The 26,901-nt window shown below is 44.4% G+C and overlaps 2 annotated features.

The window, feature by feature from the left end:
- Nucleotides 2,635-2,835: a silencer, noted in NCBI's record as "peak927 fragment used in MPRA reporter construct". NCBI's record gives its function as "represses an SCP1 promoter by STARR-seq MPRAs in K562 erythroleukemia cells {active_cell/tissue: K562}" and the evidence as "EXISTENCE:reporter gene assay evidence [ECO:0000049][PMID:32103011]".
- Nucleotides 6,812-7,479: an enhancer, noted in NCBI's record as "H3K4me1 hESC enhancer chr10:35207011-35207678 (GRCh37/hg19 assembly coordinates)". NCBI's record gives its function as "activates a minimal SCP1, AML or CMV promoter by ChIP-STARR-seq in primed H9 embryonic stem cells {active_cell/tissue: H9 hESC(primed)}" and the evidence as "EXISTENCE:reporter gene assay evidence [ECO:0000049][PMID:30033119]".

The raw sequence follows: 26,901 nt of genomic DNA, 5'->3' as shown, positions 1-26,901 counted from the left end.
TTGCCCAGGCAGCTGGAGTGCAGTGGTGTAATCATGGCTCACTGTAGCCTCGACTTCATAGGCTCAAGTGATCCTCCCACCTCAGCCTCCTGAGTAGCTGGGACTACAGGCGCAAACCACCATGTCTGGCTACTTTTTTTAATTTTTATTTTTGTAGAGACAGAGTCTTGCCAAATTGCCCAGCTGGTTTCAAACTTCTGGGCTCAAGCAATCCACCTGCCTCAGCGTCCCAAAGTGCTGGGATTACAGGCATTAGCCACTGTAACTGGCAGTAGTTTTCAGTGTGTCATTTTTTACCTCCTTGGCTAAGTTATTCCTCAATATATATATTTTTTGATGTTACTGTTAATGGAATTATTTTCTTAATTTCCTTTTGGATTATTCATTGTTAGTATATAAAAGTGCAACTGATTTTTGCATGTTGAGATTGTATCCTGCAGCTTTGTTGGATCTGTTTATTAGTTCTAACAGATGTTTTTGGTGGAATATTTGTGGTTTTCTACCTAAAAGATCATGTTGTCTGGGAACATAAATCATTTTATTTCTTCCTTTGCAATTTGATGCATTTTTTTTTTGTCTTGCCTAATTGATCTGGCTAGGACTTTCAGTGCTATGTTAAATAAAAGTGGTGAAAGTGGGCATCCTTGCCTTGTTTCTGATCTTGGGGAAAAAGTTCTCAGTCTTTTAGCATTGAACATGATGTTAGTTGTGTGTGCTTCTCATATATGGCCTTTATTATGTTGAGGCAGTTTTCTTTTCTTTTCTTTTTTTTTTTTTTGACAGGGTCTCGCTATGTCGCCCAGGCTGGACTCAAACTCCTGCACTCAAGTGATTCACCTGCCTCAGCTTCCCAAAGTGTTGGGATTACAGGTGTGAGCCACCACGTCCGGTCATAGTTTTCTTCTAGTGTCATACATCTTTAATGTCATATATCACATTGTTTGATTTTCATATGTTGAACTATCCTTGCATTCCAGGAATAAATCTTACTTAGTCATCATGTATAATATTTTAGTTGTTCTATTGAACTCTATTTGCTAGTATTTTCTTGAGAATCTCTATGTCAATATTCACCAAGAATATTGGTCTGTAGTTTTCTTTTCTTGTAGTGTCTGTCTGACTTCCATATCAAGATAGCGCTGGCTTCATATAATGAATTTGGAAGTATTCTTTCCTCTTCAATTTTTTTGAAATTAATTGAAATGCATATAAATCTACTTTTAATAAAGTCTGTGGTTAGCATTCAGTTTGCAAGATTCCTGAAAACTTAACAATGGGCTCTCCTGAGCTTGGATGAACTAGCTCCAGCACCATCCTGAAAGTGATCATGCTTGAGGAGTCCTAAAGTGTTCATTTTTGTTGTTAACAAGATTCTGGACAGAGAGAAGGAAAGAGACTACTTTTTTAATTTTTTTTTTTTTAATTAAGACAGGGTTTCACCATGTTGACCAGGCTGGTCTTGATCTCCCGACCTCATGTGATCCACTCGCCTTGGCCTCCCAAAGTGTTGGGATTACAGGTGTGAGCCACTGCACCCAGCCAGAAAAGGGACTACTTTTTAATTGAGAAAGGGAACTATTTCTTACTTGATGAGAAGAAATGCTTTTCCTAATGAGTTCATATGCCTAACAAAAGGACATACATAGATATTTTTATTGAAACTGTACTTACATTATAATGGTTAAAAGGTGAACGCAACTCAACTCTTCATCTGAAATAAAAGAGATAAGTAAATTGTGGTCTATTTATACAACGGAATACTAACCCACCCATAAAGTGAATGAACTTTAGCTGCATGAAACAGCATGGATAAACTTCATATGCATAATGTTGAGTGAAAAGAGTAAGATGCACACACAAAAATACACATCACTTGATTCCATTTATACAAAGTACAAGAATAGGTAAAACCAATTCATATTGTTAGAATCAAGATAGTGGTTACCTCTGGGGAGCTCTTGATTGGGAGAGGGCAATGAGTGAAGCTTCCAGATAACTGGAAATGTTCTATATCTTGACATGAGAGGTGGTTACATGAGTGTGTACATATGTAAAATCTCATTGAGCTGTATACTTAAGATACGTGCATGTTACTGAAAGTTTATTATATTTCAATAAAAAGCTAACAAAATGCCTTTCTTTATTTTTTAATTGTACTTTTAAATTTCAAGAGCTAAAGGCTTTTAAATAAATTTTTATATTAAAATAAAAATGCCTTCATATTTCTACTTTCTTTCAGTTAGACTGCACTACAGGCTTGTTTTAAGAGGCTAAAAAACAGAGGAGCTAAAAGAAAATTCCTTCCAGCCCCCTGACCCTTTCACTACTCTTTTTTCTAGCATTCACAATTTAATGTCTTCCTTCCACTCATTCTTGATACTCACGAATGCTGGGACAAAAATGGTTCTGTCTCATTCAGCCTTCAGAAAAAGAGCTGAAACCCAGCTCCTTCTCACCATCTCCACTGGTAAGACCAGGGTCCAAGCACAGTCCTCTCTTGTTGGGGTTAGTGCAGTCACTTCCTGTTATGAACTGAATTATGTCCTCCCAAAATTCATATGCAGAAGCCCTAATCCCTGGCATGACTATATTTGGAGATAGTGCCTTTAAAGAAGTGAAAGGAGATGATAATGGTGGAGCCGTGATCCAATACGACTGTTGTTCTTAGAAGAGGAAGAGACACAGGGGTGCACAGACAGAGGACAGGCCATGTGAGGACACAGCACAAAGGTGGCTGTGCACAAGCCAAGGAGAGAGGCCCTTGGTGAAACCAAACCAGCTGACACCTTGATCTGAGACTTCTAGTCTCAGAACTGTAAGAACACAAATGTCTGTTGCTGAAGCTGCCCAGGCCGCAGTATCTTGTTATGGCAGCCCTTGCAGACTAGTACAGCTCCTGACGGGTCTCTCTGTCCTGCCCTTGCCCACGGTAGTCTATGGTAACACAGAAGCTGGGGAGCCCATTAAGATGTAATCGGGCATGTCTGTCTTCTGTGTAAAACTGTTGGCTTCTCCTCCACCCAGCAGTAGCCCACAACCTGACGCTGGTCACAGTCTTGTATCACTCGGCCTCTACTCCCTCTCTGAACTTGTCTCCTATAGTCTCACCTCCTCGCCTGTGGCCTCTTTGCTCTTTCTTGGACATTCCAAGCATAGTCCTGCCTTAGGGCCCTTGGCATTGTCCTCCCACCCCAAACAGGCTTCCTCCAGAGAGCAGCATGACTCGCTATCCACTCCTCCTCCTTCAGGGTGATCCTCAGTGTCCTGTTGTCAGTTAGGCTTGCCTGCCTGCCTGCCTGCCTGCCTGCCTGCCTTCCTTCCTTCCTTCCTTCCTTCCTTCCTTCCTTCCTTCCTTCCCTCCTTCCTTTCTTTCTTTCTTTTTTTTTTTTTGACGGAGTTTCATTCTTCTTGCCCAGGCTGGAGTGCAATGGCGTGATCTCAGCTCACTGCAACCTCCACCTCCCAGGTTCAAGTGATTCTCCTGCCTCAGCCTCCCGAGTAGCTGGGATTACAGGCATGTGCCACCATGCCCAGATAATTTTGTATTTTCAGTAGAGACGGGGTTTCTCCATGTTGGTCAGGCTGGTCTCAAACTGCTGACCTCGTGATCCATCCGCCTCGGCCTCCCAAAGTGCTGGGATTACAGGCTTGAGCCATTGCTCCTGATCTCTTTTTTTTTTTTTCGAGATGGAGTCTTGCTCTGTCACCCAGGCTGGAGTGCAGTGGCATAATCTTGGCTCACTGCAACCTCTGCCTCCCAGGTTCAAGCAATTCTCATGCCTCAGCCCCTTGAGTAGCTGGGATTATAGGCACCTGTCACCACTCCCAGCTGATTTTTGTATTTTTGGTAGAGATGGGGTTTCACCATATTGGCCAGGCTGGTCTTGAACTCCTGGCCTCAAGTAATCCACCTGCCTCAGCCTCCCAAAGTGCTGGGATTACAGGCGCAAGCCACCAAACCCAGCCTTTCAGTCAGGCATTCTGACCAAGCAACACAGAATAACAAACTCTACCCTCACCCTGACATTCTTTTTCTTTCAGGAGTTAGGTAAAGTTATTTATGCTACATCTATTCCATGGAAAACTAGGCAATGATCCCACAATTCTAAATGACTGTGCAGATGTTAAGTGGCATGGGAGAGAAAGTAAACGTAAACAGAAGATATAGAACAAAATGGAGGGTGTCAGTTTGGATGTTTGTCCCTCCCTCAAACCTCATGTGGAAATTTGATCCCAGTGTTGTGGGTGGGTCTAATGGAAGTGTTTGGGTCATGTGAGTGGGACCCTCATGGATAGATTAATCCCTTCCCTGGGGTGGGGGGTTTGAGTGAGTTCTCACTCTTAATTCCCTCAAGAGTTGGCTGTTAAGAAGAGCCTGGTGCCTCCCCTCTCTTTCCCTTGCGCTCTCTCTTGCCATGTGATCTCCGCACACACTGGCTCCTCCTCACCTTCCCCAATGTGTGGAAGCTTCCTGAGGCCTCCCTAGAAGCAGATGCTGGAACCATGCTTCTTGTACAACCTGCAGAACTGCCAGCCAAATAAATCTCTCTTCTTTATAAATTACCCAGTCTGATTTTCCTTTGTAGCAAGACAAACAGACTGAGATATACTGTATGCTCACCCTTTTGTGGGAAAAATATAAACACATGCAAACACATGTAAACACATGCAAACACATGTATGTCTCTAACCAATATTTGATGGAAGCTATTTTTGGTGATGGTATTATGGACGATTTTTTTCTTTTTCTTTCACTTTTTATTTATTTTTCTTTTTCTTTCCCTTTTCACTTTTTGTTTTCAATTCTTTTTCTTTCTTTTCCTTTTCATTTTCTATAGATAATGACTGCAGTCTTTATAATGAATATGTATATGTATATATATATTTCTTTTTTTCTTTTTTTTTTTGAGACAGAGTTTTCCTCTTGTTGCCCAGGCTGGAGTGCAGTGGCATGACCTTGGCTCACTGCAACCTCCACCTCCTGGGTTCAAGCGATTCTCCAACCTCAGCCTCCCGAGTAGCTGGGACTACAGGTGCCCGCCACCACACCCGACTAATTTTTATATTTTTAGTAGAGACGAAGTTTCACCATGTTGGCCAGGCTGGTCTTGAACTCCTGACCTCAGGTGATCCGTCCACCTCGGCCTCCCAAAGTGCTGGGATTACAGGTGTGAGCCACCGCGCCTGGCCAGAGTTTATATAATTTTTATAAGAAGAAAAAAAAAATGTCAAATGAGGGTGACTATTTCATTGTTCTCAGGATTGGATGCTATGTCAGGACAGGCAGATTCTGATCTTCTGTGCCTCTAAATCTTAGACACTAAATGGGTCTAAAAATGAGCTGAAATCACTGTGGGAAGGTCAGGGTTTCTTTGCCTTGGAGATCTTTTAGAGTTGGCTTGCTCATTTTAAAATGTTTTCAATTTCAGCTCTCTTATCATTGCAATCCAGTTGAACCCTCCTAAGGTAACAAAAACATCCTCTTGATCAATTTGAGACTCCAACATTCTTTATTTAACCAAAATTTACTTCTTTTCATGATTCTTCTTCTGATGTTCTACATATTTGCTTCTTTGTTTTCTTTCTTTCTTTCTTTATGTATTTATTTGAGACAGAGTCTCGCTCTGTCACTCAGGCTGGAGTGCAGTGGTGTGATCTCGGCTCACTGCAACCTCCATGTCCTGGGTTCCAGGGAGTCTTCTGCCTCAGCCTCCCAAGTAGCTGAGATTACAGGTATGTTTCACCATGCCAGGCTAAATTTTTGTAGTTTTAGTAGAGATGGTGTTTCACCATGATGGCCAGACTGGTCTTGAACTCTTGACCTCAGGTGATCCACCCCCCCTCAGCCTCCCCAAGTGCTGGGATTACAGGTGTGAACCACCATGTCTGGCCCCAGCCTGCTTCTTTATTGTTTATTGTTTGAATTTGTTTATTGAGTGAATAAATAAATGAATGAAATTTCTTCATGTTCTTCCTACCTGTAGGCATCCTCCTGAGGTCTGATTTTATTCCAAAGGACTTCTGATGCAAGCCTAAGGAGCCTGTTTTTGCAAATAATTAGGAACAAAGTCCTGGCTGCTTCTCAGATGCTCAGGCTCATGATCTTCAGTGGGGATTTATGAGTCTTCAAGGCTCTCGGGACCTGGGACGTAGCAAAAGATAACAGGTCATGAAAACTGGGTCCTTGTTACTCTGATCCTTATGCTTAAGTCAGACAAGCACAAGCCAATTGGCTGCTGTGCTCCCATCTCTCAATAGGGGATAAATATATTCCAATTGCATATCATTAACAAAAAGTTGGTGCTGTGAACTGGGGTGCCAGCTGCCACCGGCCGTCATTAAAATGGAGTGTTATGGTGTTACAATTCCGGTAAATGCAAAACCGTCTTGCGGCTAGTGGGAACACATGAAGAATGAATCTCATTAAACACAAGTACTTACTCAGATGGTTCCATCAAACTCCCTGAAATGCCACTTACTGCGCGCCTGGGAGATGCGGGTGGAAGCGCACACCCTTTGATGTGTGTCACAGAGTGGCAGCTGCCCCAAGCAAAACAAAGCTCCTGCTCCGTCATAGCTTCAGTGCGGATGGAAATTGAGGGAGGATGACACAGCTGTATTTCTGAGCAGTGGGCATTTAGCGACATCCAAGGGGACAAATAAGCCTCTTAAATTCATTAGTATCTTGATAAAACTGATTATGCAGTGAGCGGTGAATGGCTCTGACTTCTCAGGAAAATGAAATGAGAAGAAAGGGCAAGGAGGGAGTGGTTCTTTCCCGGAGCAGCTGTGAAGTCCTCTCAGGAGGTGGTGAACCCTGGAGAGCAACTGATGCTACACAAAGGACAGCAGCTGAAAAGGAGCCTCCGGGGGTCACTGTCTCAGAGAGCCCCTAACCTGGCCAGCCCGGAAGGGCAGAGGAGAGGGCTCCCTGAGCTAAGCTGCCAGGTAACAGCTGCAGCCGCAGCCCCAGTGCACCCTACAGGGTGGTTTTCCAGGGCTGAAGCTGGAAGTGCGGATGGCGGCCCCGATTCAGCTGTTTGGGTAATGCAGAGCATTTGACATCGCATCTGGTGTCAGTGATTTGGTTGCTATTGTAGATATTTCATGTCACGTTGGATATTAAGGATGAAGGCGGTCGCCCACGGAGGCAGGGAGTGTGGAGAAAGAACCCGCTTCTGTGCAAGTCATGGGGTCGCGAGGTTAATACGCTTCTGCGGCTCCAGTAAGAACTCTGCTCATTGAGGCACGGCTGGGGTCCGGGAATATAGGAAGCTCTCCTCCTCTGGTCGCCACTGTATGATGTGGATGCTTCATTTCACCACCTCCTTCTGGGGGTGACACCCTCACCCCAACTACCTTTCCCGGGAGGCTGCCAAGTGCCAGGGCAGCTCTTCCCCAGAGGTGGGTGTGGGTCATGTTTTTAATGTCAGTTGCCAGTAATGGACTATTAGCTCCGTGAAAAGAGAACATCTCTGATGCTTAACTCAAGTCATAGACATGAGATCGTCTCCAAAGAGGATGCAATTCCCTGAGAGTCAATAAACACGAGGTACAGTTATTAGACGAGGTTACTAGACTAACAGGGACAAGGAGGGCTGTTTGAGGCCAAGTGTGGTAATCTCAGTGCTTTGGGGGCCAAGGCAGGAGGATCACTTGAGGCCAGGAGTTCAAGACCAGCTTGGGCAACATAGCAAGATCCTATCTCTACAAATTTTTTTTTTTTTTAATGAGCTGGGTTTGGCGGCGTGCACCTGTAGTCCCTCCCAGCTACTTGGGAGGCTGAAAAGGGAGGATCTTTTGAGTCCAGTTCAAGGCTGCAGTGAACTATGGTGGTGCCACTGCACTCCAGCCTGGGCAACAGAGTAAGACCCTGTCTCTAAAAGCAAAAAACCACAAAAACAAAAAACAAACAAACAAAAAAGCTTAATATAAATGACGTGTGAATATTGTCTTGTTAGGGAATAACGACAAGGAAAGAAAAGCCTATACATGTTTAGTACAGATGCAATTTTTTTCCCCAATATTTTTCAAACTCCTGAGCTCAAGTGACCCTCCTGCCTTAGCAGTGGCGCAGTCTCAGCTCACTGCAACCTCCTCCTCCCAGGTTCAAGTGATTGTCCTGCCTTAGCTTCTCGAGTAGCTGGGACTACAGGCATGCGCCACCATGCCTGGCTAATTTTTGTATTTTTAGTAGAGATGGGGGTTTACCATGTTGACCAAGCTGGTCTTGAAATCCTGACCTCAGGTGATCCGCCTACTTTGGCCTTCCAAAGTGTTAGGATTACAGGTGTGAGCCACCGCACCCAGTCCTTTCCCTAATATTTTTGATTGGTCGTTGGCTGAATCCATGGATGTGAATCCACTGATGCAGAGGGCATGACTTCCTGCACCTTGCGTCTGTCTGGTATTTATGAGTTACGAGGATAAGAACTGGATTTTTAAAGAGTATCTTTGAGGGGCAAAGAAGACTTTGGACTAACACTCCCTTTAGGTCCCTGTAGAATCTAACTTCAGCATTTAGAAGAAAAAGAAGGCCAGGTGCGGTGGCTCACGGTTGTCGTCTCAGCACTTGGGGAGGCTGAGGTAGGAGGATTGTTTGAGGTCCAGAGTTCAAGACAAGCCTGGCCAACATAACAAGACCCCATCTCTCTAAAAATAAATAAATAAATAAATAAATAAAAATAAAAAAAAAAGAAAATGAAATTCCTGACATTAACTCCAAGCTCTGCATACAAACATAACACTTTGCCAAAGCGATTTTCATGTTAACAAGGGAGAATTCCATATTAACTATGATACTGAATCATGGAGCTGATGGGGAGAAAGACTATATACAAGCAGCCACAGATCCTCTCAGTAATCTAGGCCCAGGTTTCTCAGGTCGAGGCTCTTGGTGGATTCAGTCATTGACATATTTGTGAGCAAATGGTGTGTGGGCTTATGTCAGGCAACCACATGTGAATGAGTCAGAAGCACTTTAAAAAAAATCCAAGCTGTTCGTGAAATCAAGAAATTAAACACAGGCAGAAACATCAACACTGTGCCACTCCGAGGCAATCTTCACACAGCTCTAATGTGGAATGAGTAAACTCAGATGCTGTCCTGAAATCATCAATCTGTCCTTGTTTTCTTTCTTACATTGCAGTATTGAAACTCAGAACATGTAACTCTGCTCAACAAGTTGATTTTGACTAACAGTTTCAGGGCCTGAATGGAATTGAACCAAGCTGCAAAGAAATCACATTTACATTTAAATTAAAGATGCTACTTGTTGTGTGGATATGATGATTTCCAGGTAGTATCTCTCTCTGCCATCAAATGCAACTTCTGGCCAGGTATGGTGACTCACTCCTGTAATCCCAACATTTTGGGAAGCCAAGGCATGAGAATTGCTTTAGGCCAGGAGTTCAAGACCAGCCTAGGTAACATGGTGAGACCCTGTCTCTACAAAAAATTAAAAACTAGCCAGGCATGGTGGCTAGTGCCTGTAGGCCCAGCTTGAAGGAAGCTGAGGTGGGAGGATCACTTGAGCCCAGGAGGTCGAGGGTGCAGTGAGCCAAGATCACACCATTGCACTCCAGCCTGGGTGACAAAGTGAGACCCTGTCTCTAAAAAAAAAAAAAAAAAAAGCAATTTCTGACCTACCTTTATAGGCTGAAGTTGTTACGTTCTGCCCTTAAGAATCTGAACTCTGAACACATATTACATAATAAGCCTGCTGAGTAAAAGCTCTTTCACTGTGTGTAGGAATCCTGGCATTCAGTTGGAGTAGGGGATAACTCACTTCATATCTTCTGAATTTCTTTAAAAGGTACTTCTTCCACATCTTCTCTCCTTGTGAGGTGATCAAATGTTAATATAGAAATAAATTCACCATCTAAGACCTATCTTTGCTTTTTGCATGGAGCACCCCCAAAATTCTGAGGGCTTCCTTTCTGGTTTTACAGTTGCTTCAGATGGAGATTACTTGAGCTTCCACTTTGGCTTCCATCATTACCCACATCTTACTAGACACTTTTCCATGCTGATGTAATTCGTGTTCCTAAGAATCAGTTGTATCCTGTTTCCATGAATAACTAGTTTTTAGAATGGAAAAGAATGTGTAGGGCTGGGCGCAGTTGCTCACCCCTGTAATCCCAGCACTTTGGGAGGCCGAGATGGGTGGATCACAAGGTCAGGAGTTCGAGACCATCCTGACCAACATGGGGAAACCCCACCTCTACTGAAAATACAAAAAAATTAGCCAGGCATGGTGGTGCATGCCTATAATCCCAGCTACTCAGGAGGCTGAGGCAGGAGAATCGCTTAAACCCAGGAGGCAGAGGTTGCAGTGAGCCGAGATTGTGCCACTGCACTCCAGCCTGGGCGACACAGTGAGACTCACTCTCTAAAAAAAAAAAAAAAAAGAATGTGTAGAAACGACTCATAATCTTTTGTCTTTTTCAAAAAGCACTAATTATTATAGTTAATGACAATGTATTATATATTTGAAATAGCTAATAGAGTAGATTTTAAATGTTCTCACCATAAAAAGATAAGTATGTGAGGAAATTGATATGTTAATTAGCTTTAGTCATTCCACCATGTGTTCATATATGCAAACATCATCTTGTACACCATAAGTACATACAATTGTTGTTTGTCCATAAGTACATACAATTGTTTTTGGCAATTAGAAAAAAGAATGTAGGCCAGGCACTGTGGCTCATGCCTGTAATCCCAGCACTTTGGGAGGCCAAGGTGGGCGGATCACTTGAGGTCCAGGAGTTCAAGAGCAGCCTGGCCAACATGGTGAAACCCCATCTCTACTAAATACAAAAAATTAGCCGGATGTGGTGGTGCGCACCTGTAATCCCAGCTACTCAGGAGGCTGAAGCAGGAGAATCACTTGAACCCAGGAGGTGGAGGTTGCAGTGAGCCGAGATCGCACCATTGCACTCCAGCCTGGGCAACAGCGAGACTCTGTCTCAAAAAAAAAAAAAAGAAAGAAAGAAAGAAAAAGAGAATGTGACTGGCCAGGGAACCACTAGTTGTGAGATTTGCTTCTTCTGGGCACAGAGTCGTTTGCATCTCAGAGTGTTCATGGCAGACTGGCGAGAAGACCTTCAGGAAATGAAGACTTTTCCTGCATATTTTTTATCAGGAAAAGTAAAACAAGTTTTCAGCCTGGCATAAGGAGGCAAGCAGACATCATTAGATCATTAGTAGGTGACTTTCCTGAAAATGTTAGTACTATTTCTGTAGATAATGTATTGCTTTTTGGTTCAACTTATGAGATGCTTGAGGAAATGGTTACCATGTGAACTACATGATCATCTACTCAAAATGATCAATAAAATCGGCTTAGGTGGCCAGCTAACATTTTCTATGTGCATTTATCTCTCTCTCTCTCTCTCTCTCTTTTTTTTTTTTTTTCAAGATGGGTTCTCACTCTGTTGCCCAGACTGGAATGTAGTGGCACGATCTCAGCTCACTGCAACCTCTGCCTCCCAGGTTCAAGTGATTCTCCTGCCTCAGCCTCCTGAGTAGCTGGGATTACAGGTGTGTGCCACCATGCCCAGTTACTTTTTGTATTTTTAGTAGAGATGGGGTTTCACCATGTTGGCCAGGCTGGTCTGGAACTCCTGACCTTAAGTGACCTGCCCACCTCTGCCTCCCAAAGTGCTGGAATTACAGGCATTAGCCACCACACCTGGCCTGCATTTCTTTTTTCTTTCTTTGCTTTTCTTTCTTTCTCCATCCATCCTTCCTTCCTTCCTTCCTTCCTTCCTTCCTTCCTTCCTTCCTTTGCTCTCTTTCCCTCTCCCTCCCCTCTCCTCCTCTCTTTCTTTCTCTTTCTTTCTTTCCTTCTTTCTTTCTTTCATTTATTTATTTATTTTTAGATGGAGTCTTGCTCTGTTGCCCAGGCTGGAGTGCAGTGGCATGATCTCATCTCACTGCAACCTCTGCCTCCTGGGTTCAAGAGATTCTCCTGCCTCAGCCTCCTGAGGAGCTGGGATTACAGGCATGTGGCACCATGCCCGGCTAATTTTTTTGTATTTTTAGTAGAGAAGAGGTTTCACCATGTTGGCCAGGCTGGTCTCGAACTCCTGACCTCGTGATCTGCTCGCCTCATCCTCCCCAAGTGGTGGGATCACAGGCATGAGCCCCCGTGCCCGGCTTCCCTCCCCTCCCCTCCCTTCCCCTCCCCTTCCCTCCCCTTCCCTTCGTTTCCTTTCCTTCCCAAAACAGGGCTTTGCTCTGTCACCCTGGCTGGAGTGTACTGGTACAATCATAGCTCCCCACAGCCTAGAACTTGGGAGCTCACATGAACCTCCTGCCTCAGCCTCCATGCCTGTCTAATTTTAAAATTTTTTGTAGAGACCGGATCTTACTATGTTGCACAAGCTGGTCTCAAACTCCTAGGCTCAAGCAATCCTCTCTCCTCAGCCTCCCAAAGTGCTGGGACTACAGGCATCAGTCATCACGCTTGGCCAACCATGTGAGTTTCTTTATCATGCTAGAGTAATTTGGCCATATGGAGGCTAATTTGAAAATGCATTAAGATGAAGCTACGGATGATAATTTTTAATTAACAAGAGAAATGAGTTGTTCTTTCTCTTTTCCAAATCATTCCACAAGCCAATCCCTCACATGAGGCAGGTGGTCGGCTGTCAGGGACAAAGATGCACTAATGAGAAGCCGACATTCTAGACTTCCAGACTATGGCTGACGATGACAATGTCTAACACTACCCCTAGGATTCTGTCTAAGGAGTTAATTAAATGTCAACCAAACAGCCTCCCTTGGGAAATAACAACCCACACAACCCACAGAATCAGAGAAAATGTCTACAAATCACATATCCAATAAGGGGCTTGTATCCTGAATATATAAAGAACTCTTACAACTCAACAATAAAATAGAGCTGTGTGTTATTTCAAAGAGCTGGAAATAAACTTTTTTTTTTTGTTTTTGAGACAGGGTTTCACTCTTGTTGCCCAGGCTGGAGTGCAATGGCGTGATCTCAGCTCACTGCAACCTCCCCCTCCTGGGTTCAAGCAATTCTCCTGCCTCAGCCTCCCAAGTAGCCTGGATTACAGGCACCTGCCACCATGCCCAGCTAATTTTTTGTATTTTTAGTAGAGACAGGGTTTCACCATGTGGGCCAGGCTGATCTCGGACTCCTGACCTCAGGTGATCTGCCCACCTCAGCCTCCCAAGGGCTGGGATTACAGGCGTGAACCACCTTGTCCGGCCGGACAGAAACTTTTGAAGCGGAAGCATCAAGGTAGCCTTCTCAACCATTCCCTTTCCTAGGATCTTGTATTTTTCATGCCTCTTTGCCATGGTTCACATTCAGACATTATGTGGATCCTACCACTTTGTGGCATGGGGCAGAGCTCACCAAGTCCCTTCTGGCTGGGGCAGGCCTGGAGTGGGGGATTTGGGGCTCTGGTGGTGATGGGAGAGCTGGAGAGGCCAGGAAGGGCAAGGCCAGGCAGTCCTTTCTGCAGAGGGAGAGTTCCCACAGCAGATGCCAGATGCCTCATCCCACTAATTCCAGGATGGGGCTGCTTGCATCACCACACTGTCCACTCACATTCACCTCTGAACATCTTAACTTTCCCAGAATGTCCTCCTCATACTGCACTCACTATTTTGTACTATTTTTGTTTTTTTATTTGTTTGTTGAGACATGGTCTTGCTCTGTCACTCAGGCTGGAGTGCAGTGGCGTAATCTTGGCTCAATGCCACCTCAACCTCCCCGACTCAAGTAAACCTCCCACCTCAGCCTCCCGGGTAGCTGGGAATACCAACATGCACCACCACGCCTGGCTAATTTTTAAGTTTCTTGTAGAGACGGGGTCTCACCATGTTGCCCAGGCTGGTCTCGAACTCCTGGGCTCAAGGGATCATCCTGCCTCGGGTCCCAAAGTGCTGGGATTACAGGTGTGAGGCACTGTGCCCGGCCTTGTGCTATTTTTGAGTTAGGCTGTTGATGGAAAGTCAGCAGATACTGTTTTCTGTTTCATAGTGATGCTTTGGACTTCCATTCTGCTCACTCATTTTATATCTCCAGAGATGGTATTTAGAGAGCAAGGGCTGGACACTTGGCAGACGCTCCGTAAACACAGATTGACTGATTGACTGATTGGTTGATTGATTATAGGCTCCCTGCTCTCTGCTTAGGTCTTGGTGGCAGAGCTAAGGGTAAATGCATCCATCTGACGGGGGGGGGGGGCGGGTGGGGGGGGGGGGCGGGTGGGCGGGGGTGGGAGGAGTGTGCTTTGTAAATTTGGAGAGTGGGCTGTGCTGCAACTGGCTTAAAGGTCTAGAAAACCAGCCAGGTACGGTGGCCCACGCCTGTAATCCCAGCATTTGGGAGGCTGAGGTGGGCAGATCACCTGAGGTCAGGAGTTCGAGACCAGCCTCACCAACATGGTGAAACCCCGTCTCTACGAAAAACACAAAAATTAGCCAGGTGTGGTGCCGCACACCTGTAATCCCAGCTACCTGGGAGGCTGAGGCAGGATAATTGCTTGAACCCAGGAGACAAAGGTTGCAATGAGCCAAGATTGCACCACTGCACTCCAGCCTGGGCGACAGAGTGAAAGTCAGTCTCAAAAAAAAGGACCAGAAAACCACTTCATCGGCTGGGAATGGTGGCTCACACCTATAATCCCAGCAATTTGGGAGGCTGAGGCGATTGGATCACTTGAGGTCAGGAGTTCAAGACCAGCCTGGCCAACATGGTGAAATCCTGTCTCTACTAAAAATACAAAAATTAGCTGGGCGTGGTGGCAGGCACCTGTAATCCCAGCTACTAGGGAGGCTTAGGCAGGAGAATTGCTTGAACCCAGGAGGCAGAGATTGCAGTGAGCCGAGATGGCACTACTGCACTCCAGCCTGGGCGACAAGCAAAACTTCGTCTCAAAACAAAAAGAAAAACAAAATGAAAACCATTTCATCTAAGAGATTCAGCTCTGAGTGATGAAGGGTTGTATGATCAAGACCAGAGAAGCATCAAAACACTTACAGCCTCAGGATGAAAATGTCATGGGGTTGCCAGGGGGTGGGCAGCAGAGTTCATTTGTAGCAGCTCCCGGGCTGCTCTGCAATGTTTTGTGGCTCAGGGCCATGTGTAGCCAAACAAAAACAAGTGTTATAGGCCTGCTGGTTTCTAGCTGAATTCACTATTCAGAAATATGGCCAGTTTTTTCCCCCTATGAGCTTCATAGTCTCCTACCACAAAGAAGCTAGCAGATTCATGGATTTGAACTGCACTGAGAAAATATAACTCTGCTGGTATTCTTGAACTTGCAGTGTTTGTCTTTAGGTTTTTTTTTTTTTTTTTTTTTTGAGATGGAGTCTCGCTGTGTAGCCCAGGCTGGAGTGCAGTGGCACGATCTCGGCTCACTGAAAGCTCTGCCTCCCAGGTTCACACCATTCTCCTGCCTTTGCCGCCCGAGTAGCTGGGACTATGGGCGCCCGCCACCACTTCTGGCTTATTTTTTGTATTTTTAGTAGAGACGGGGGTTTCACCGTGTTAGCCAGGATGGTCTCGATCTCCTGACCTCGTGATCCCCCGGCCTCAGCCTCCCAAAATGCTGGGATTACAGGTGTGAGCCACGGCACCTGGCCTTGTCTTTAGGTTTAATGTTAAACATTGAGGATACAAATTTCATTGTAAGTCAGAGACATTTTTAGCTGCCGTCCCTGCAGTTGGAGCTGACTCAGCAGACGTATGGTTTTTGATTTACTGTGCCTGGCAAAAGTTATTATACTGAGGCATGTACTTTATTATAAACTTTTCTTGTATAATAACAGACAATTTGGCCAGGCTAATTGCTAAATTAAGCTCATCCTAGTCAAGCTCAGCTGATTCATTTAAAAGGTTATTGACCATTGACATTTTTACAAGTGTTTAATCAGACTAGTAAGTACTCTTAAAATGGAAATTTTGTGACAAACACACTCTAAGCTTGATAAGTAAAAATATGCACCATAAAGCCCCACCCACCACCCACAAAAAGAAAAATTATAGCATATACATATATACACACACATCACCTTTCAGCTGAAATCCTATAATTTGTTACATATGATTATAGAACAAGAACAAATAAGAAAATGGTTCAGGCTCTGATGAAATTTTAATAATAAAGTATGTTAGAGTGGCCTGTAGCATGTTTAAATAAAGCTTAAAAGAAAATCACTCTGCCCTGATAGGTAATAAATGTAGAAACACACACCCTTGGCTGGGAGTGGTGGCTCACCCCTGTAATCCCAGCACTTTGGGAGGCCAAGGTAGGGGCAGATGACCTGAGGTTGGGAGTTCACGATCAGCCTGGCCAACATGGTGAGACCCTGTCTCTACTGAAAATAATTAGCCGGGCACGGTGGCAGATGCCTGTAGTCCCAGCTACTAGGGAAGCTGAGGCAGGAGAACCGCTTGAACTCAGGAGGTGGATGCTGCAGTGAGCCGAGATCGAGCCACTGCACTCCAGCCTGGGCGACAGAGCGAGACTTTGTCTCAAAAAAAAGAAAGAAAGAAATACACACCCTATTTTGTGTTTTCAAATGAATAAAATTCAGATGCAAAGGACTTCACCTTGAAGAGCCAAGGCCTTTTTTAGCTATCAAAGATATGGTCCTTTTGCAAGGAGATTTCAAAATCCATGCCACATATACCTGAAAAACATGAAGGCTTAATTGGCTGGTTTTCCTTATGTGATAATAAAATGATCTGTTCTCTAACCTCTCATTTTTATGCTTGGCAGGAATGTGACTGTACTCGAACCAAAAAGACATCTGCTAGCAATTTGCAGTCTCAGAGCAGCCCACGGTTTTATGGAGCTTCATCTGAAACTCTGATTCATTTTTGAAAAAGTTAGCTAATGCAAGTGGGGGTGAGGGCAGCCGGCTCCTTGCTGGGGGATCGGCAGAGGAGGAGTTGTTTCCGCCAGCCCAGGTTACAGTTCTGTGCTCTGTCTCCCAGGGTCTGTCCTGATGAACTCAGGGTTTCTGGGCTGCCCCAGAGTGGGCAGTGGTAGGTGGGAGGTGCCTGTGTTGGGCCTGAGATTTGGTGCTGAGAATTTGGTCTCCTGCTTAGCAGTCCTACTTTTCATTTAATTCAATTTTTACTCCTGTCTTACTCTGACAGATGGGTATATTCTACTTGATACAGAAAGTTTACAAACTCATAAAATTGGAACCGTACACGCATATGCACACAAGTGCACACACACACACGTGCATATGTATGCACACTCACACATGTGCATATGTATGCACACTCACACATGTACCCTGCAATTAAGGGAAAAGCAGCTCAGGCCTTGGCCTCACACAGAGAGGGCTTCCAATCCAGTTCAGTTACTCAGAGCTCTGTGACCTTAGGGAAATGAATTAACTTTCTCATTTCCTTATTTAGAAAATGAACATCATAATGCCTGCTTTGATGGAGATGACATGATATATGTAATGCTCCTGGAACAGAGGACAGTATTATTTTATATGGCCGGTGTACTTCTTCCTCCTGTCCCCCCTACTTTGTGCTATTTATTGGAAGATCTATTTTAGGTCCTGATGTTTGCACAGACCCATTCAGAGGACAGATTTGGAAATCTGGACAGATTTTCTTTTTCCTGTTGCCAGAAGGAAAACAAATGATAAGCCTGTTTTAGGTCTTACTTGTGGTGCAGTTTCCTCTCCACCTAAATATCTGCACGAGCCTACAGTGGAAAGAGATGAGCTTAGGCTGGGTGAGATTGGGAGCATTGCTTAATTGCTTTGAACTTGAGTTTGTTCAGATAGAAACCAAAGAAATTAATATCTAACTTGCAGGACCATTTCCATAAGATAAATAATATATGTAATACAAATGGTTGTTGCTTTTTACTCTCATATTGCCTAGTATTTTTTTCTCTTTTATTTTGTATTAGGAATTCAATGTGGAATCGCTTAATATTTCTTTTTCTTTCTTTCTTTCTTTTTTTTTTTTTTTGAGACAGAGTTTCGCTCTTGTTGTCCAGGCTGGAGTGCAATGGCACTATCGTGGCCCACTGCAACCTCCGCCTCCCAGGTTCAGGCGATTCCCCTGCCTCAGCCTCCCGAGTAGCTGGGACTACAGGCGCGCACCACCACGCCCAGCTAATTTTTGTATTTTTAGTAGAGACGGGGTTTCACCATGTTGGCCGGGATGGTCTGGATCTCTTGCCTCGTGATCTGCCCGCCTCGGCCTCCAAAAGTGCTGGGATTACAGGCGTGAGCCACCATGCCCAGCCTCCTAACTCTTTATAAACCAGAAAACATTTCTTAGAACTCCCTCCCCATTCCCTCTTATTTTGCATATGGCCAGAAATGGGCACAACCACGTCCCTAGATAAATCACTGCCTGGGGGAATGGAGCCATTAGAACTGGCTGAAAATGCTGAGGTTTGCCTCTGAGCCTTAGAGGAGATGTGTGGACACCATGACAAAACTAGGGCTTTCCCAGCAAAGGAGAAATTGGGGAGTGGCGGTGGCTGGCCGTGCGGCATGTGCGTCGCACCAAGTGACATGCTCCAGTTTGCTTTGGAAGCTTTTCTGTTCTTGTGAAGGTACTGATGGCCTTTCCCTGTTCCCCTTGCAGATGAAGTGGGAGTCCCTCAGTCCCTGACATTTCCCCAGCCTCACAGAGACGTGCAGAGGCCACTGATCGTGACGTGAGATCTGCCTTCAGTGGCTCCCTGTGGCCAACAGGCGGGCTGCGTCAACTGTCGGGCACCAGCCTCGTCCTCTTCGACATGCTCCGTGCATCCTGACAGGGTGGTCTGTAATTTCAGCCTCAGAGGTCAGGCTCTCACGCCCTTCCGAGTGGAGTGCCTCGGCAGCGGGTTGTTATTTCAGGACGCCGAATCAGTCTCAACACTGGGGGCCAAGACTCTTCACAAATGTGTCTTCCGGGGAAAGGTTTATCCACCAGGACGCCCCATGTGTTTGTGAATCTGACTTGGGAATCTCCGGTGAAATGAGGTCCATTTCAGTCATATCTGTTCTTATGGTTTAAACTCCGGCTAACATTTCTTTATCTCGAGTGTCTGGATGAGATGAAGGCTGTAGGGCTTACAATACATATCCAGCAACGCTAAGGCGTCTTGGAATTTTGGTGGAAAAGATGATGCGAGCCATCACGATACTCAGAGCAATTCTCCTGTCTTTTGAAAAATAGAATTTGCTTCCTGCCACAGCCCCAGGTGTCCTGATCAGATTAGAAGTACTCCAGTTTATGTCCAGCCCAGATTTTGAAAACTGATCTGCTGTGACGATCTCCTGGTTTTCTAATTTGCATGTCTCCCTGCTTCTACCCAATGTGGTGAAGGCCGCTGCAATCACCCAGCCCCATCCGAGGGAAGGCAGGGAAGGCGGATGCAGGCCTGGGCAAGTGCTCTGCAAGCTTGCTCTCTTTGTGTCCTGGATGAAGTGAGCGTCTCTCTTCTAATCCATGTAGACTCAGCATCTAGGAAGAAGCAAGAGTCGATTCTTTGTAATACAGGCTGAAAATCTCCCAATCCTTTGCTTCCTACCTTGTTTTTATCTATAAACTTGATTTTCGTTTCCTCTGAAAATTCCCCATCAAACCAAATCCTTCTCCCCTAATTCCTCCCTGCATTTAACACGATTCACCTTTGCCTGTGTGTTGTAGGATAAACAGCCCGCTGCCTCAGTGAGAAGAATGACAAACAGAATAATTTAAAAAACAACCAACTGACAAATCTGAACAAGCTTTGGTGGTGAGGACCCGATTAATTACACTTGTCCACACCCAAGCTTGGCAGAAGGGGGTGCCCTGGGAATGTCTGCAGAAGCCAACCCCGTGCCTGAGGGGTCAGGGGTCAGGGTTGACAGCCCTTCCCTGAAGCTGGATACTCCCAGCCCGGGAGTAACTCCAGCCTGAAAGAGAACTAATTGAGGATGCTTCTTCTAAAGGTAGTGACTGCTATGTTCTGTCTGCTGGGTTCCCTTTAGAGTTCATGGGATACATTCCATCCAGTTGCAGGGCAAAGAGAGGGCCTTGGGGTAACCATTAGTTCTAGGCATGGAAACCTGGGCTTACAAGCAAGTGCTCAACCGGGTGCAGCCGAAAAAGGGAGAAATCCTGGAAATACAGGATAGTCGAGTTCCTCCTGGGAGCTTGGCAGTCATGATTTAGACAACATGCACCTAAGAATATGCTGATTTTACAAATACCTCAGCTAACTTGTGGTAGAAATACCAGATACCATGTGGGTCCCCAGCTGCAGTACTAATAGGCTAGGCTGCCTATTGAAGCCATCAAAAGTCACTTACACTGTGTAATATGGGAGACGCCAAATGCTTACTAGGCCCCCCACCCCAATGTCCTTCCTCTTAACAGGACACAATACCTCTAATGCCTGAATCTTTTATTTAAAGGAGCTAAAAGTGAAGGAAGTCCACAATTAAAACACAAATATGGGCTGGGTGTGGTGGCTCATGCCTATAATCTCAGCACTTTGGGAGCCCAAGGCAGGAGAATCTCTTGAGCCCAGGAGTTTGAGACCAGCCTAGTCCACATAGCAAGACCCCATCTCTGCAAAACAAACAAAAAATACACAAATGTGTTACACCGAAGGGCATCACAGAACCCCATAATCATCCATTAAAGATCACTGGAAATGTTGTTTATCTGAGGAGGCAGCTAGTCATAGGGGGGACCTCTTGAATAAGGGCCAGGAATCTCCCAGTTTTGAAGGAAGGTTCTGGAACTCTCTGGTAGTTTCTTTCTTTTTTTTTTTTTTTTTTGAGACGGAGTCTTCCTCTGTCACCCAGGCTAGAGTGCAGTGGTGCGATCACGGCTCAGTGTGCAACCTCTGCCTCCTGGGTTCAAGTGATTCTCCTGCCTCAGCCTCCCGAGTAGCTAGGATTATAGGTATGCACCACCATGCCCAGCTAATTTTTGTATTTTTAGTAGAGATGGTGTTTCACCATGTTGACCAGGTTGGTCTTGAACTCCTGACCTCGGGTGATCCACCTGCCTCGGCCTCCCAGAGTGCTGGGATTACAGGCGTGAGCCACTGTGCCCAGTCTCTCTGGAACTTTCTGATACTATATAAAAAGAGGCAGTAGGAGCAGTGAATGGCCTTGTGCTGCCTGCTGAAGAATGAACCCACGAAGGAATGTGCATTAAGGGTGTGGTGTTGGGCAGCTATCTGGGAGAGGAACACGGCCATTGGCTGATTCCAGGTCCAGCACCCAGGGTTCACCTGAGGCAACTGGTCCATACTCGAAGTTGTGTCAGATTGCATTTTCTAAACAGTGGTCACAAAATTGTCCCCACATTATTCCCATGTAATTTTTTGAAAGTTATTTGTTTCTTATGATTTTTGCATTAATACATGAGATGCATTTGTAGTTTTCTTGGTTGAAGTGTGCCATCTCAGGTTCTGAAATCAATGTTATATTTCATAAAATAATTCAAGCATGTTCCTTCTTTTCTACATGCTAGAACAATTTACACAGAATTGAGTACTACCTGCTCTTTAAAGATATCTTAGAATGCCCCTGTGACACTAGTTGGGCATTTCTGAGGGAACTCTTTGGCAACTTTTTCTCTTTGTTGTATGAGAATCAGAATGCTTTGATTTTTTTTCTTTGGGATCCATTTTGCTAAATTATATTTTCCAAGAAAATTGTATTTTTCATCCAAGTTTTCAAATTTTACTTTCATGGAGTTGACCAAAGTATTTCCTTATGGTTGTTTTAATTTAATATAGTTTCGTGGTTTTCTCTTAGTCTTTCTTATTTTGTACATTTGCATTTTCTACTTTTTTTTTCTGTATTAAGTTAGCTAGTGCTTTTCTATTCTTTAATTCTTTTCCCCAAAGATTCAGTTTACTTCTTTTTTTTCTGTTTTCTAATTCACTAAGTTAGAAAGTTCTGTTTTTATTTTTATTAATTCATTCTTTCTACATCCCTTCAGTTTATTTTATTGTTCTTTTTCTAAGCTAGATGCTTGGTTCATTTGGTTTTTATTTATTATTTATTTAAGTATTTAAACCTATGAATTTATCTTCCACTACTACCTTAACACTATCTCATAGATTCCAAGGTGTGGAAAATGTATTGTTTTTGTTATTTTTATTTTCTAGAAGTCCTGTGATTTAGGTTAATATTATATTTTGATCCAAGAGTTAAGAAGAATTTCTTTAAATTCATATAGGATAAACTTTAAAGATGTTCAGGTGAAAAGGAATTTTTGTTATCTGTTTTTAAAAATTAATTTATCATTTTATTGCATTGTGACCAAAGAAGGCTGCCTATGCTGTTTCTATGTTCTGGAATGTATTGAGGTTTTTTTCGTGGCCTCATATGTGGTCAGTTTTCCTGAATGTTCTATTCTTGAATATTCTTGAAATAAGAATATGCTCTATGTGTAGAGAATATGTATATATATATATGAACGATCATGTTTAACATAGATTATATGAGAGTTCTATATTATTGATTTCATTTTTATTAATTTGATTTGTCATAGACTATAGAGTCAGGAATGAAACCAGCGTGATTCTGTTTCTTTCTCCTTTTGTATCCTGTAATTCCAAGTTTATGAGTGCCATTGCATTGTTATTTGGTACTCAGTTATTTATAACTATTATATCATTATATCTTCACTGTGAATCATACCCTTTAGCATTACAAGGTGTTTTTATTGGTCTTACTTAATCTTTTTTTTTTTTTGGCCTGAACTCCAATTTACCTAAAATTAAATTAAAGCCATGACCTGGCCGGTCACAGTGGCTCATGCTTGTAATCCCACCACTTTAGTAGGCCAAGGTGCGTGCATTACCTGAGGTCGGGAGTTTGAGACCAGCCTGACCAACATGGAGAAACCCCGTCTGTACTAAAAAGACAAAATTAGCCGGTGTGGTGGTGCATGCCTCTAATCCCAGCTACTTGGGAACCTGAGACAGGAGAATCACTTGAACTTGGGAGGCAGAGGTTGTGGTGAGCCGAGATCGCGCCATTGCATTCCAGCCTGGGCAACAAGAGCGAAACTCCGCCAAAAAAAAGAAAAAAACCATGACCTTTGCTTTCTTCTGGTGCACTCTCCCTTAATACAGCTTTACTCATCTTTTCATTTTCAATATTCTGTTCTAGTTGTGTTTCAGGTAGAGAGAATTATGTTTTGCCTTATGATTTAACTTAAAAATATTTTTCTCTTAGTTGGGATGCTAACCCCATTTGTATTCATAGATGTGACTAAGGTATGTTTAGTCTTAGATCTGTTATATTGTTTTCCATTTTTTTAAAATTTGTCTATTTGCTTTTGCTTTGTTTTTTATATGTAGTTCTTCTGATATTTAGAAAGATTAGTATATTTAGAAAGATTAGTATATTAGTATATTTAGAAAAATTAGTATATTTTTTCTAGTAGACACCTTTATAATAACTTTATTTTATTTTGTAATTTAGTTTTTATTTTTGTTTTTATTTATTTTTTTTTGAGATGGAGTCTTGCTCTGTCACCCAGGCTGGAGTGCAGTGGCGTGATCTTGGCTCACTGCAGCCTGCCTCCCAGTTTCAAGTAATTCTCCGGCCTCAGCCTCCCAAGTAGCTGGGACTACAGCCATGTGCCACTATGCCCAGCTAATCTTTTGTATTTTTGGTAAAGATGGGGTTTCACTGTGTTAGCCAGGATGATCTTGATCTCCTGACCTTGTGATCCGCCTGCCTCAGCCTCCCAAAGTGCTGGGATTACAGGAGTGAGCCACCAAGCCCGGTCCTTATTTATTTATTTTTTTAGATGGAATCTCACTCTGTTGCCCAGGCTGGAGTACAGTGGCACAATCTTGGCTCATTGCAACCTCCACCTCCTGGGTCCAAGCAATTCTCCCACCTCAGCCTCCTGAGAAGCTGGGACTGCAGGCGTGTGCCACCATGCCTGGCTAATTTTTATATGTTCCAGTAGAGACTGGGTTTCACTATGTTGGCCAGGCTGGTCTCAAACTCCTGACCTCAAGTGATCCACCCACCTCGGCATCCCAAAATGCTGGGATTATAGGCGTGAGCCACTGCTTCCGGCTATAACGATACATTTTTTTTTTTTTTTTTTTTGAGACAGAGTTTCGCTCTTGTTGCCCAGGCTGGAGTGCAGTGGTGCGATCTCAGCTCACCCCAACCTCCGCCTCACAGGTTCAAGCAATTCTCCTGTCTCAGCTTCCCGAATAGCTGGGATTACAGGCAGGCACCACCACACCCGGCTAATTTTGTATTTTTAGTAGAGATGGGGTTTCTCCATGTTGGTCAGGCTGGTCTCGAACTCTCGACCTTAGGTGATCCACCCACCTCGGCCTCCCAAAGCGCTGGATTACAGGCATGAGCCACCGCGCCCGGCCAACCTTTGTTCTTTTAATATGTTTACACTTTTGTTACTTGAGCTGTCAATTTTAGTATCAGTCAGGGTCTAGAAAAACAGAAACCCCACTAAAGCCTTTAAAGCTTTAGGTTTTAAAGGCTTTAGGCTGGGCGTGGTGGCTCATGCCTGTAATCCCAGCATTTTGGGAGGCCGAGGCGGGTGGATCACCTGAGGTCAGGAGTTCAAGACCAACCTGGGCAATATGGTGAAACCCGTCTCTACAAAAATACAAAAAAAAAAAAAGAATTAGCTGGGCGTGGTAGCATGGGCTTGTAGTCCCAGCTACTTGGGAGGCCGAGGCAGGAGAATCGCTTGAACCCAGGATGCGGAGGTTGCAGGGAGCTGAGATCGTGCCATTGCACTCCAGCCTGGGTAACAGAACAAGACGCTGTCTCAAAAAAAAAGAAAGAAAGAAAAGAAAAAGCAACAACAACAAAAAACTAATGATTGACTTTAATTCAGGAAATTGGCTACATGGGTGGTAGAAGAGTCAAGAAGCCAAATGAGACCGGGTAGGAACCCACAGATTAGTAACACCAGAAAGCCATGACTTCCTCTAGGTGGGTGGGAGAAGGTGGTGTGACTGTTTGGGGACAGGGGTTACCTGGTAGTAGCTGTGACCTAAGAAAAATGTGTGGGCCGGGTGCAGTGGCTCACACCTGTAATCCCAACACTTTGGGAGGCTGAGGTGGGCGGATCGCCTGAGGTCAGGAGTTTGAGACCAGCCTGGCCAACACGATGAAACCCGGTGTCTACTAAAAATACAAAATTAGTGAAACTCTGTCTCAAAAAGAAAAGAAAAGAAAAGAAAAATGTTGTGGGGTAGGAGCTTTAGCCCCAGAGGCAATGCACCTGCTACTGGCAATGTTGCCCAAGCTTCTCTCCTTCTTGTCACTTTCCAGTTGTCCTCTTGTGTCTTGACATGGCTGACCCAGAAAAACAACAGGAGACACAGGAGCTATGAAACACAGCTTGCAGGGCCCAGCCTTCTCTTGACACTGATCAGAGCAGCAAAGGGGTGAGGACTGGATCTGAGGGCAAGGGGGCAAAGGACCAGGTTTAAATGGTACCCTTTGACGACCAGTTTCTACTTTTTTTTTTTTTTTTTTTTTTTGAGATGGAGTCTTGCTCTGTCGCCAGGCTGGAGTGAAGTGGCGCGATCTCAGCTCACTGCAACCTCCACCTCCCAGGTTCAAGCAATTCTCCTGCCTCAGCCTCCCAAGTAGCTGCGACTACAGGTGCACGCCACCATGCCCAGCTAATTTTTATATTTTTAGTAGGGAGGGCATTTCACCATGTTGGCCAGGATGGTCTTGATATCTTGACCTCGTGATCCATCCAGCTTGGCCTCCCAAAGTGCTGGGATTACTGGCGTGAGCGACAGCGCCCAGCTGACCAGTTACTACTGATGACATGTTCATGAGCTTATCCTCCTTCTTACCTCATTTCCCCAATCACTGTTTGTGTCGGTGGCATCCTTTCTGCATTGCCAAGCATATGCCATTTTCAGTCTGTTCTGTCACCCTCCTTCCACCCCATCTGTTTTAGTCTTAGTTCCGTGGCTCTGGATATTCAAGACCCACCCAGAGTATCTTACCCTCATTACTCCAATTATTTCTTACTCAGCTAAAATAGACACCCTATTGTCCTTAAGTAGTCCTTAAATAGTGTCCTTAAGGATGACACAAGGATCAATATACTCTGCATCTTGGCCGGGTGTGGTGGCACACACCTATAGTCCCAGCTACTCGGGTAGCTGAAGCAGGAGAATCGCTTGAACCCGGCAGGGCGGAGGTTGCAGTGAGCCAGGATCGCACCACTGCACTCTAGCCTGGGCGACAGAGTGAGTGACAGACACTGTCCCAAAAACAAAACAAACAAAACAAAACAAAACAAAACAAAAACTGCATCTCTAGACTTACACCTAAGGACAGTTAGGCTCAGCAGGCCGCTCTTGTCCCTTTCTTTCCTTAAATATCTTGTGAGTGTTGTTCTACTGTTTAATATGGGTTAAAATAACACACAAAGGAATCCAAGGCCAGCCTGAGTTTTCCCCTTTTGTAAATAACTAGATTTTTGTGTGCTGGGCTGCCCAAAAAAGCCTATCATTTCATTAAAAGTTCAATGACTTTTCTAGAATATTTGTCTATGACTATTTGGGGTCAATTTTCTTTTTTTGTATCTGTGACAGGGTCTTGCTCTGTTGCCCAGGCTGGAGGGCAATGGCATGATCATGGCTCACTGCAGCCTCAAACTCGTGGGCTCAAGTGATCCTCCCGCCTCAGCCTCCCAAAATGTTGGGATTACGGGCGTGAGTAACCACGCCAGGCCTGGGTAATTTTGATTGACTTATCTTGCATTTCATTTAGTCTTTCCTCTGATGAGATTTTCTATTTGCTGAGACTTTCTTCAGTTGAAAACATGTGTCTTTTACTTTACTGACAGTAGTTACAATATCTACTTTAAAATCCTGTCTGTGAGTTTCAACTGGGTTCAAA

This window comes from Homo sapiens, chromosome 10 (genome assembly GCF_000001405.40).
Source record: "Homo sapiens chromosome 10, GRCh38.p14 Primary Assembly".
NCBI classification, from domain to species: Eukaryota; Metazoa; Chordata; class Mammalia; order Primates; family Hominidae; genus Homo; species Homo sapiens.
This window is presented reverse-complemented; position numbering and strand designations above follow the sequence as displayed.